At 32.4% G+C, this 13974-nt stretch overlaps 1 protein-coding gene across 8 annotated transcripts in view; it reads left to right on the top strand.

The window, feature by feature from the left end:
* DPYD (dihydropyrimidine dehydrogenase) overlaps positions 1 to 13974 on the top strand; it is an 843317-nt gene that overhangs the window by 176687 nt on the left and 652656 nt on the right. For all 8 annotated transcript variants that reach the window (XR_001737014.2, XM_047448077.1, XM_017000507.2 and 5 more), the window contains 1 exon segment: positions 3894 to 3981. Coding sequence is in view for 7 of the 8 variants with exons in the window: in XM_047448077.1 (XP_047304033.1) it covers positions 3894 to 3981 (88 nt within the window). In the remaining variant the exon portion in view is untranslated.

Genomic DNA, 13974 nt, shown 5'->3' with positions numbered 1-13974 from the left:
ATTCCAAATGCTGTGGATGGTTACCAATAAAAGAAGCAGGCATCTGTTCTCAGATGTGTGAAGAATGAAATGCCGCTTGTTTCATTACTCACTATAATATTTTTGGTGTCATACTATGGAGTCAAACTGTCTAGCCTCACGGATATTTGGGAAGAGGAATCATGTTTCTCTTTCTCTAGAGAAATATCATGGATAAATATATCTTTAATAGTTTTTGGCCTTTAAGTAACAGTACTTAAGTTTTCATACATTTTTATGTTCATGTCAAATTATAAAAAATTAACATTGATTAAGTATTCTATATTTTGCTCTTCGACAAATTCATTGTTATGCTTTGTATTAAATATGAAAATTTAAAAAGTGTATGCCTAGTGAAAACTCTAAGTTGTTTTCTTGTAGTTTAAAAAAATCAAATATACTTCTTTATGTATAACAACTATTTGGGGGAAAATGTATGACATAATTGTTTCTCTGAATTAATTTTTGCTGCTTATGCATTTAAAAATAAACTGCACTATAACAGAGTAACTTTGAAAGGTAAAAGGGGAATTAAATGACTAAAGATGAAAACAAGTGTAATTTAAATGTTACTTTTAAGGAGAAATTTATGTGGAACTGTGGTTTACGATAATTGTTGACATATTCCCCTAAGTACTGTGTCTGTGATTTTTCATGGTATCAATCATTTAAAGCAATTTAGGTAATAACATTCTGACATGCATTTCTGCTATTTTATTTACACCATTTGCCTATATCATTGTAATGCAGTACCTTTCTGATTTGGTGCAGTAAATGCACTCTGTAATATCTATTATGGCATGGTCAAAGGATAATTTATTGTCAAATAGAAAAATAGGTCAACACTAATGTCACTTGATGATCAACCCCCACCGCTCAAAGTTTAATAAAACATCTCACCAGTATGCATTCCAGTGCAGTGGTTGATATTTTATTAGGACTACCTGGCTATAGCAGTAGTGTAATTACTGAGCTGTCAGAGTGATAAGTGGGATTAATGGCAGCCTGATGCACTTTAGTCTGCAGAGCGCTTAGAGAATTGCAAGATGGTATTATTATCAGAGTCTGCCCATTCTGGCATATTCATGACACCAAAGGAAAAAGGAATGCTACAATTCAGGTTTGCGTGGCCCTGCCTCATTAACATCTGACATTTTCAACAGCTGTTATTTGTGAACTAGCTCAATAATAAAAGGAGAATTATTTGGTAAAGAGGCTTAATAACCACAACTAAAAATCCTTACATTGTCAATACTGTTAAGTGAATCTGTTTATGTTGAATATAAGATTTCTCTGGAAGAACAGAAAAATACACTGCACATTAATTTGGTTCCCTTATATCTGCTGACATTATAACTTTATTTTTTAATTGTGTTATTATTCAAGTTGGGTGTTAGAAAAAAGAAAAGCAGAAAACTTGTGACTTCATAGAGATAACCAGAATCCATATGATGTGCCATATATGTGTGTGTGTGCGCTTACTTTTGTGTGATGGCAGATATTTTTACAACTGTTTAAAAGACTTTTTTTCAACAATAAGGTGACATTTAAGTTGGCATATTATTTACTTTTTAGCTATTTTGTATTGCGACATAAAAGAAAATCCTTTCAAACCACTATTAATGCTCAGTATATTTATCCACATGACAGTTACACATATAAATATCACCTCATTTTAACATCAAGGACCAAATAGGCCATACATTATGGAGCTTTTTGTATTGTTTGCAATGTATGCTGCAGATTATACTTCGAAGAAATTATTTTTGAACTCAACAATAGTGTTTCGGGGAAAAAACGTTAAGTATGAGCAGACAGGAATTCAACTAAATGATAGATGTGAATCTAACAATGGCATTTAGAGAAATGATAGGGAAGAGGTTTAATGACTACATTTCAGAGAGGACAATTGATTATGAAAAGCCTTTGGTACTCATTGTGTAAAATTTAATTTAGAGAGAAGGCTAAGGGCACAAACCAGAGAAAAGAGATCAGATTTAAAAACAAGATATTAATTAGGCACTGAGAAATTGGTTCAGACAATGAAGAGGGCTCTCTTACTCACAAAAGAATGACAAGGAGACTGGTATTGTTTTCATGAAGGAAATGAACCAAGGTCTTTACACATGGAAGTGTATAGAAAATGAACTAGCTAGTCACCTTTGTCACTGAGCAATGTAGGATTCATGCTCAGTGAAATTCTTGGAGAATGCTGTTTTTCTGACACATGTGGCAGTAGTATATTTTCTTTAGTTGTCTGTCTCCACATTCATTTCTTTCTACTCCCACTCTCACTTTATGCTAGACCAAATTCATTAGTTCACCTACCTTGTCACGTTCTTTTCTTTCCAGGCACTGGTGCATACTCTTTCTATTCTTGGGTAATTATCCTGAGTGACCCTGCACTCAGAATCCCACTGTCATTTGCTTTCCTAATGTCCACTCGTTCTTCAAGCTTCTATTTCAATATTATTCCTCCCAAGAAGCCTGTCCTGACAACCTCCCTCCAGGACTACTGTCTTTCATCTGTGCTCCCTTAGCATGCTATATTTCACCCAGATTCTCATTGACCACATTGACCAGTGTGTGGCTTTTTCTGTGTCTGTACTTCATTCAAACTGCATGTTCTATGATGGCAGGACCATGGTGATCTTTTTCCAACACTTTTATATTCTCATATCCCAGGGTCTGCTATGTAATGGAGGATTATTAAATATGTATTAAATAAATGAATAAATGAAGAAAAACACACATAAGTTAATGTGCAAATAAAGGATGAGTCTGGCCATTGGTTTTAGTTGTCCTGAATGAATAATTATAGAATGTTGTTCTAACAATGTGCTTCCAACTATGAACACTAGAATCACTTCAGAGGCCCTTTTCAAAATGCGGATTCCCAGGTCAGTAACTTGGACTCAGTAGGGGCTCCTCTGTGAAGTCTGTGCCATTTATCAAGCTTCCCAGGTGGTTCTTAGGTGCAACAAAGTTTGAATACATCTCTGGCCAGTCCCCCGGAGAGGAGAGTCAGATGAGATTAATATGCAGGAAGTTTATATGCAGGTTAACATCTGTAGAAGAGTGAAGGAAGTGGGACTGAGCAAATAGTCACAATAAATGCTTCAATGGCTCCTTGCAGACTAGTTCCCCAAATATGGGAATGGGCAGAGAGCCTCCAACCCCGCTCACTGACCTTGAATTGTATGTGTGCTGCTACTGGAAAGGAGGCTGACCTTGTTGGAGCCCATTCTCTTCAGCAGCAGAGGGAAGGCAGCTGTGGGAATAAAGCTTTGGTCCTGAAGGGTATGGATCTGGGCTATGCTTTGAGGCATCTGTTACAGAACTCAATTGTCCTGTGAATGGGATGGAGGCTGAAAGACTTCAGACAATTGGAAAGAGAGAGAGAGGTAGAGAGGGAAGCTGGGAGGAAGGAAGAGTGGAAGAAAGGATATTTCAAGTGGTAAAATAAGACTTTACCTTTAATCTTTGCATTTGTTTAATAATTTTGGTCTAAAAGAATTACAAACCTTATCATAAAAAACTGCATGCAAGTATTGTCAGCATAGTGAAGGATGAAACAAAACTGATAGAGTGAGGGAATGGTATGTCCTAAATAAGTATGATTCTCTTAAAATCAAGAAGGAACTCTGAGAGGAGGGACAGTTACTAGCCAGCATGATTCTCATTTATGCATCCCAAGAGGAGTGCCAAAGATGAAACACAGAAACTTTGTATTTATTGCTTAAAAATGTTTTGTACCTAAAAATGATACGATTTTATTTATACTTACTAGACACGGACTCTGAATGAGTATAAGGTAGAAAATAGATTATCTCACTTATCTTGTAGTTTCTTAACATAGTTATTTTATTTCCTAGATGCCTGAAATGTGCAGATGCCCCGTGTCAGAAGAGCTGTCCAACTAATCTTGATATTAAATCATTCATCACAAGTATTGCAAACAAGGTAAATTCAGATTTAACTCTGCAAATGAAAATAACAGTATTTGATCTTGTTCTCTATTATCTGTGGGTACAGAATACAGCTTGTCTTAGCAAATCCAGTTAAACCATTAAATATGACTTCTATAGGCATTTAAAAATGTGGCACATTTATTAATTAAGCACTTCCAAGTTGTGATTTATCATGAAAATCCAGGTTCATTGTTTTTTGTTTTGAAAATTAGTTTGTGTTAAAATGAATGATTTTTAAAATTCAAGACACTGAAAAGATTGATTTTAGTTTATGCTTGCTAAATACTAATAGACAAGAACTGTCATTGATCATCAAAACACATTTATGATTTGTGAAATATCTATGAAAGTGTGCTTTGATAGTAAGTCTAGCACATAGATATATCAAGGTAATAGACTTTTTTAACTAAAATTCAGTTAATATGTTTAAGACTTGAAATAATTCATAATGACTCATAGAGTTGTAGCAAAAAAAATACACAACTAAAATTAGAAGAAAAGGCTTATATGGGCATGAGTAGAACAAAAGGAATTTTGATCTTTATTTTTTTTTAAAAATCAATGTAAGTCTAAGCCCAGTTTTCATTCACTAAGTGAATGGTTGATTGATTGAATAATTGATAGTACCTATTGTTTTTGTGAAGAGAGCATTGAGAGCTCGCCCAAGTGTCTAATCCTTTAAGGATGAGCAAAGGCTGAACAATGTCTCCCATAAAGATACAGAGAATCCTTTCACAAGGTTTAACACTAATTTTCTAAAATGCTGTAAAGATACCTTAACTCCTCGTTCTTCAACAACCAGGTGCCTTTTTACGTATAAAGTTTATTTCTTAATATTTCAAGTACTTAGATAATTTAGGAGAAAAATGATAAATACTTTTATATAAATTTAGGGTCTTGAAAGAATTTAAAAATTATTCCTGCATGGTCAGATTTAAATCTGCATTGTCAGATTTATTAGGATTTGAAGTCTGGTTTGAATTTTTAGATAAACCGCTTATTGTGAAACTGGGGGTAATTACCTCCTTACTTTCACTTATGAAGGAAAGGTAGCATCTATCTTACAGAGTTGTAGTATAAACTGAATAATATTTTTATGTGAAAATGTCTAATATAGTGATTACTCAACAATTTTTTATGTGGAATTATTAGTTTCCCTATTCATTCAATATGGTAAATACTATAGAAGTGATTGCTGTTTTTGAAGTAAACTGCTATTTATAAAATCACATTTTTTAATAAAGATCTCATCAGAAAAGGAGAATCCAAAGATTGAAGTCTAAAGTATTTTCGCTAAAAATATATCTAAGTTAACACTCTTCATATCAAGCATGAGGAAATATGAGAATTATGACGGACTATCTTACAAGATCCATGCTACCCCAATTTTTTCATAGATATTTCAGAATCAGTAGTTATTTTATGAGTACACACTTCATTTATTCAAGGTCTACACAAATGTATAGAAAAAAAGACAAAAAGGATTCTTAGGTTTACAAAATGTCTAAGCAAGATCACAGTCATCTCTATTTTTGGAAATCCACTTTCTGTTTCATTAATTTGTTCATATTCTTTACCTAATGGAACGTTGTGCTTAGATATCTATTTAAAAGATTTTTATATGAATATGAGAGATTTGAAGATGATTAATTGAGAAGATAATATGTTGTCAAACCTCAAAAAAAAAAAAAACTCTCCTAATTTTTTGTTGAAGGATCACTGTAGCAATCATAAAAGGTCAAAGACTGTTGTTCTTTAAAGCCTGCAGCTTTTTAGATATTTACCAGCTGTGTACAATGTAGGCTGTCCCACATTGCTTTGCCAGTGGACCTCAACGCAGGAGGGGTGTTCTTTCCAGGTTGAGAGGGTAATTGAATCGCCAGACTCAATGAGCCTTGCGCCTCTTTGAGAAAAGGATGTCACTTGTTTTGTATTGTGTTAGGCTTCTGTGATTCAGTGGAGTTTAGGCCAATACTTCCATTCTTTATTTTCTTACAAACTGGATTACAGCTCTAGTTTTGAAAGGTACACTCAATTCTATTGTCCCCCCTCAGTCAGTTTTTCTCTGTTTGGTTTGTGCAGGCTGTTGTTTGCAATTGTATCTCTCAATTGGAAGTACACATTTCAGATTCATCAAACAGTGAATCCTGGGTTATATTTCTTGATAGGTTTTCTTTTAAAAAACACTACTTTATATGAGAATGCATGAGATCAGTCTATAAATATAGTGAAATAAATGGCTGTTTTAAACAGTGTTCCTTGATTTCGTGATCCTGTATTTAAAACAATAGAGATATATTCTCCTTAAAACTTTTAAAGTGTAAGCCATCGATTTTTCCATGATTTTGCATGTGTTTATAAAATCTGTGTAATCAGATTAGTGTGGCTTTTGTGTATAGATAAATAAATGTATACTATGTGTTACAGAAAAGCTGACTAAATTACACGATGTAAAAGAAAAGTTTTTCTTTGTGATAGATCCTTATTAAAAGTAACTGGAAGTTAAAGAAACAACAAAATCGAAGCAGCAGAAATTATTGATAATAATGTTTGCATTTATAAGAAAGTTACATTGATACGTGTTTGTGTGTATGCATGTATGTGTGTGTGTATATATATATGGTTGAGAGGGATATATATTGTACATATATTGTACACACACACACAAACACACACACATATTACAGCTGTTACAAAGCAGAAAAGCAGAAATGTAACCAATAGATTTGGTGCTTTCTGCTTTCCAGTTTGCCTTTCAGTTTCAATGGCTGAATGGTTTATACTCTTATCAAACAAAATATTGATCATTTCCAGAATAACTTTCTAAAGCTTTGCTCAAATTCTGACTTCCTTGCTCAGTAACTGTAGTTACTCCCCAGTGCCTAGAAACTAATGTCCAAATACATAATCTATTATGTAAGTTGATTGGGGTTTCTCCCACTATTATATTAAAGAAGTAAGTGGAAGAAAAAATGTTGGAAAGTCCGTAATTTATAACCCAGTAATTTTTTAAAATGTGAAGATTTAGATATATGCAACAAAAAGTAGTGATAAGATTTCAGGTTTCCCTTGGTACAGGAGGTCATTTCCTTCATCTTTATTGTTGGATAATAAGTATTTACCCCTCTATCCATTTAAAGAGTATTGACTTATCTATCTGCCATAAGACAGTGCTCAAGAGAACAAAGCTTTAAAACAAAACAAAACAAAACCTCTATCTCCTTTGACCAGCATGTCTCCAAAGTTATAGAATTACAGTTAGGAGGAATATTTTAGAAAATGTCCGTAATAGACAACTATATAGAAACGGAAAGTAGATAAGTGATTTCCTGGGACTCGGTTTGGAGAGTTGGGCAAAAATAGGTGAGGAGTATTTTATAAAAGTGGGTAATGACTACTAGTGGTGATGGAGTATCTTTTTTGAGTGATTCAAAAATCAGTGTTCTAAATTAATTGGTGTACATATGCTATGTAGATTATATCTTAATAAAGCCCTACACACACACACACACACACACACACACACACACACAAATGCACACACACACACCCCCACCTCTATCTCTGTTATATTCCTAGAGGGTACACAAGCCATAATCCTGCAGAGTTGCTGAGTTGAGTATGCCATGTGATTTAAATAAGTAATTCTGAACTCGTGCCAGTTTTCATTACAGATGACCTGCCAATTTTGGCCTATGTATTATGGGTTGGTTTGTGTCATTTAGAATATCAATGTGAGTGGGTTTTGTGTCATAGAATGAGGTTTAATTCTAATTACCTCTTTCCACGTTACAAGACGTTCTGTGGATATTAATTCTCTCTTTTAAAATTTGATGAGAGTATTATAATTGCTTTATTTAGTCAATATTGGATTAGCTTTATTCATATTTTTGTCAATTTTTTCAGTGTTGCAATTTCCATGTGGAAGCCGTTCTACTTGGAATAAATAAAATTTTATTCAGAAAGGGTTTTTTTTTTGTTGCCAGACTATCTTAATTTTTGTTTCTGAACTATTTTTATTTCCATTTTTTTTACTTTTGAAAAGTTTTTTCACTAATTATAGAATTCAGGGTTGGCAATGATTATTATTATTTTTCCACTTCATAGAACTTACCATTTTGGGGCCTTTTATCATACAATGCTACTATTGAAAAATGAATGGAAGTCTAATTATTGTTCATTTGAGGTTAATATGCCTTTGGGGTGCTGTTTTAAAGATCTTTTAGTTTTTGATGTTAAACAATTTTACCATGATTTATCTAAGTCCATATTTCTTTTTATTTGTCCTACTTATTTTTCTTTGCAATTATTGAAACTGGATTGATTTCTTTCATCATGTTGGGAAATATCTCACTGTCTCTCTTTCTTTATGAAGCTCTTATTAGATACATGTTAAATCTTTTTACTTTGTTCTCAATGACTCTTAGGTTTCATACATTTGTCTTTTTATTTACAGTGTGGGGGTTTTATTATAGATAATTTCCTTCAATTCTGTTTTGAAGTTTACTAATAATTTCTTCACCAGTTTCAAATATGCTGTTAAAATGGTCCATTGAGTTTTGAGCTACAATTATATCTTTCATTTCTAAGAGTTTTTTGTGCTTTTTTTCTAATCTGCCAGCTTTTTATTAATCTTTTCAAGACTTTTATTGTTTTATTTATTTATTTATTTATTTATTTATTTATTTATTTATTTATGACAGAGTCTTGCTCTGTCGCCCAGGCTGAAGTGCAGTGGCGCAATCTCTGCGCACTGCAAGCTCCGCCTCCCGGGTTCACGCCATTCTCCTGCCTCAGCCTCCAGAGTACCTGGGACTACAGGCACCCGCCACCACGCCCGGCTAATTTTTTTTTTTTTTTTTTGTATTTTTATTAGAGGCAGGGTTTCACTGTGTTAGCTAGGATGCTTTCCAACTCCTGACCTCGTGATCTGCCTGCTTTGGCCTCCCAAAGTGCTGGGATTACAGGCGTGAGCCACCGCACCTGGCCGCCTTTTATTTCTTAAAACTTAAAATATTCGTTTTCATATTCTGTCAATTTTACTATTAAAAGTCTCTGCGAGTCTGATGATACTGTCTGTGCTATCTGTTGCCTCCACTGAGTGCTTTGTGTTCCCTTGTATGTTCATTGAATTTTTATTATTATTTTTTTACTCTGTCATTTGTGTTGATGCCTTATTGGAGGAAATTCTCTGAGAACTGTGAAGCATGCATGTTTCTTTACAAGGGATTTATATTTGCTTCCCTCAGGCAGTGGCTTTACCGCCAGTCCTCTGGGACCACCTTAAACTAAATTCCTCACTTAATGTTTTTTTTCGAGTCACCAAGATTGTGTGAATCAGACCAAAAATACAAATATAAATTTAATTTGCTAAGGACATTATTTTCCCTCTTTTTCTTGTGTACCCAAGTTTAAGACTGAAAAGTTTCTGTGCAGTTCCAGGTGGGACCTAGGTGGGGTTAATTTTAATTTCTCTTTCTGGTGATGTGGACTTACACAATCCTAGTTTTATGATTGAGTCTTATGTTAGACTCAGACTTTAGGTGGGCCTTGAGCTTTTTTTTCTAAAACCTATATGCTTGGAGACCCTTAAAACAGAAGCCTTTGTTTACATGGTTTGGCAAATGCCTTTAAGATGATTCCCACTGATTTCTCTGGTCTACTTACTGCCTTGTTATTTTCAGTCCTTGGACATGCCTATTCATGACTTAAAAGCTATTTTCCTATAATTTTAATTTCTAATTAGAAGAGTCATGGCAGATAATTAGTTTTCAATATGCCCTGGAAAAGTGCGGTAGATATTTAACAATGAGTGGATAGTCTAAACTGATAAAAAACCCAGAGATTTTGTAGGAAAATATAGGAGTAGTAATTGGGGAGATATATGGAAGAAAGAAACTTTAAAAAATGAAGACAAAAAAGATTTATTATATCAGATACTGATACTACAAAGCTACTGTAATCAAAACAATGTAGTATTGGTGCTGGAATATACATTTCTCAAACAGATGAGAGTCTATAAATAGAACCAAGTAAATATGAGTGTGTAATATATAATAAGGAGGACATTTCAATTCAGTGGAAAATTAATTACTTCTTCAATAAGTAGATCTGGAATAATTTTGACTTTACTTTTAGAATCTTTCATAGGTTATCTCCTAGAATTCTTTTCAGGTGGACTAACCTAGATATTAAAAGTACATATTTAAGGATAAGTTTAATTACAAGCAGCTATAAAATATGGGAGAGGACATTTTACTACCTGCATTTTAAAAATATATTTTAAAATAAAAACTAACCACACTTGAAACCAAGTGAAAAATTATTTGCCATGCATGTTTCAGTCCAAGTGTTAACATCTTTGTTACTCAAAGAGCTCCTGAAAATTTATATGAGAAGGATAACTCAGTGCAGGCATAGGCAAAAATTTTACTATTATAGAAGTCATATAAGTGACTATTAATCATATTAAAATTAGCCTGCTTGCATATTAGTCAGTAAGATGTAAATGAAAAAATGAGATACCAGTTTTCTCTCATCAAATTGTTGAAGTTGAAAAGTAAACCCCTGTGTTACTCAGCAGGAAGGAAAGAACTTTGATATGATGGATATATATTTGAGAATTAAAAATATATGTACTGTTTCACCAGCATGCTTTATTAATTTGTTCTACCTAGAGAAATAAAGTAATTACAATGTAAAGGGACACATATACAAATATATTATTTAAAGCAATTATAGCATTGTTTGAAGTAATAAAAACGGGTGAATACTTTAGTATCAGCTCAATCTATTAGGCTATATTTATATTATGGAAGGTTAAGAAGCAATTCTTAAAATTGCATTTTATATTTATTGGTCTAAAAGGATATTTGTAGTAAGTGAAAGAGGACAAATTGCATAGTAATGTGAATAGTATGACACTACTTTTAGAAAAAAATTTAATCTGTATATAAACAAAAAAGGGGAGGATGTAATTTAGTTTCTTCATTTGATTGAGGTTAGTGTAGGGTGAAGTTAGGTTTCTAACATTTTCCTTATAAATCTCTAAATGACTTTGCTTCTTATAATGAACATACGTTTTATAATAAAAACAATATATTAAAATTCAGTAGTAAAATTAAATAAAGTAAAGCTGAGAGGTTTCACAATAGCACATGACAGACCCTATTCTAAGTTTTCATTGTGGTATAAGGAGTGAGAAAAATACCAAGATTTTCCTCCCAGATTGCTAAAATAGTTCCAAATATGTTTTTTGAATAATTACTCTAGTATACTAATGCCACCTTTATTGCCTATTTGATTCCATATTTATTTAGATCTATTTTCAAATCTTCTTTGTCCTACCTATCTATATGTAACAGGACCAAGCTGTTTTAATTTCTTTGCTGTGTAGTATATTTTGTTATTAACTAAAAGCATCTCCTTGACATTACAGTTATTTTCAAAGTATCCTAGCTTTTTTCTGCGTGTAAAACTAGCTTTGTAAACTGAAAGAGTTCTACAGAATAAATATTGAGCACCATGTTCAGACTATAATAAAATATTAATTTCTAATTATTAATGTAAATGTATGCCCACCTTGACTCATTCATTTATTACTAATGTTACTGTAGTTAATGTAACTATTAACTAAATTTTCCAGAATCCAGACTTTAATTTTAATAAATAGCTTCCTAGTCTTGAATCTGGCAAATTGTGGAATACTAAATTTACTAGAGTTAAAGACAAAGGACTGGGGTATTATTGTTAAAATATCACATCTTAATTGAATGTATGGTGTGAAAAGGATAGATGGATATAACATTATCTATTGAGTCATTAATGCTTATATAAGATGTATCTTGCTTCTGTTTTGATATATATATAACTTCACAAGGTTACATTTTTACTTTTTTTTTTTTTTTTTTGAGATGGAGTCTTGCTCTGTTGCCAGACTGGAGTGCAGTGGCACAATCTCGGCTCACTGAAACCTCCTCCTCCCGGGTTCAAGCCATTCTCCTGCCTCAGCCTCCTGAGTAGCTGAGACTACAGGCGTGTGCCACCATGCCCGGCTAATTTTTTGTATTTTAGTAAAGACGAGGTTTCACCGTGTTAGCTAGGATGGTCTCCATCTCCTGACCTCATGATCCACCTGCCTCGGCCTCCCAAAGTGCTGGGATTACAGCTCCCGGCTCATTTTTACTTTTAATCACAGCTGATACAATGTGTAATAGTCACTGATTTTATTCACTTTTGCTTTAATAGAGGAAGTTCAGATTTGAAAAGCCTGTAAGCTCAAAGCAAATGTTAGTCAATTATAAGTTATAAAATGTAAACAACTATAAGTCCAAGAGTCATGTTAGTATAAATGAGAAAGGATTTTTATTATACATCTTAAGCCAGTTTTATATGAAACGAGTAACATCATATTGTTTGTGGTTGTGTATAGTATAGACAAATTTAAACATATGCTTTTGTAAATATTTGATAAAATTTAAATTATTTTTAAAAAACACTAATGATATAAAAACTAAATATATATAAATTAAATTGGAATCACAACTATTTTCTTTTACAATATTAAGACAAGAAAAATCTGTATAAGAAACACATAGGATACTATTTTGGGTATTTTTTAATATTAATAAGTAAAAGTCAATGTAACAGAATATAGACCAAAAGAAAATGTAATTGAACTAGGCATCTCATTGTATAGAAAAGAAATTTGAAACCCAGCAAAGCTAATGACACAGCTGCTTGATAGTATAATTGAATTTTCTAGATTTCTTGTTCAGTGTGCCTTTGTATTACACTATACTATCGATATTAACAAAGTATGCAGATTATGAAATATTATTAAAATATAAAAGGCTGGAACATTTGCTATCATGACCAAATTTTGTAAGTGCTATTAACGTCTTGAATGTTGAGTAAAAAGTATAATGTAATAGACTTCATGTTAAAGAAACTTGAGTTTAGTTTTTTTGAAAACTACTTTGAAAAATTAAAATTTTTAAAGTAAATTATTAGAATCGATACTAATTATATTTTGAAGCTATTAATGGGTTTAAATTATGTACTTAGAATGGAGGCTTTTTTGAAAAACCCTTTTATTTCCACTGTAGAATATAATAACACACTGTACTATGCATCACAACAGTCTGTCAATTAAGGAATTGCTCATATTCTCGTCAATAAAGAGCAAACTCGCACAAAATAGTCTGACTTTTTTGTATAGAACAAATGGTGTGATATTACAGTCTAGATTTAATGGCATAAATAATCATGTGTCTTTTGGCATGGCATAAATAATCATTAAAGAAAAAGTTTTCAGCATTTTATATGTAAGTTATATATGTTTGAATATATATATATTTCACATTAATATGAGATTCTTTGATTAATAATCTTCACCTTTCAATAATTTCTCAAACTTAAAGATTCTCATTTGCTTGCAAGCTGTGTAATATTCATAAATGAAATTGTAGAATTCTTTCAATACCCAATGCTTTTTTTTTCAACTCTAATGATGACTAGCTTTGACATCTTTGTTTTTGTATTTGTATTAGTGTTTCGATGTAGAAAAGTATCCTCTTTGAAGCAAATTGTAGAAACTCTACTACACACTAAATAAAATAGTATTTCATCTTTTTCTTTCTCTCTTCAAATTTAATAACTTACTGGAAATGAAAAACTTAAGCCTCTAAATTTCTTATAAAATTTATTGCATTTATAATTATTTTCCCTGGATAAAGTGGGGCTTTTATAATTTTAAAATATATATTCATGTTATTTAATTGATAATTCAAAAACTATAAAGCACTTTCTTATTTTTGCCTTTTATAGAGATTTTCATTTTCAATATTAAAGGATAAGTAGGCCAGGTGCAGAGACTAACGTGTGTAATCCCCTCAATTTGGGAGGCCGAGGCGGCTGGATTACTTGTAGTCAGGAGTTCAAGACCAGCCTGGCCAACATGGAAAAATCCTGTCTCTACTAAAAA

The sequence above is a fragment of the Homo sapiens genome, chromosome 1 (genome assembly GCF_000001405.40).
Source record: "Homo sapiens chromosome 1, GRCh38.p14 Primary Assembly".
NCBI classification, from domain to species: domain Eukaryota; kingdom Metazoa; phylum Chordata; class Mammalia; order Primates; family Hominidae; genus Homo; species Homo sapiens.
Note: the sequence above shows the minus strand (reverse complement) of the source record. Positions and strands in the feature narration are given on the sequence as shown.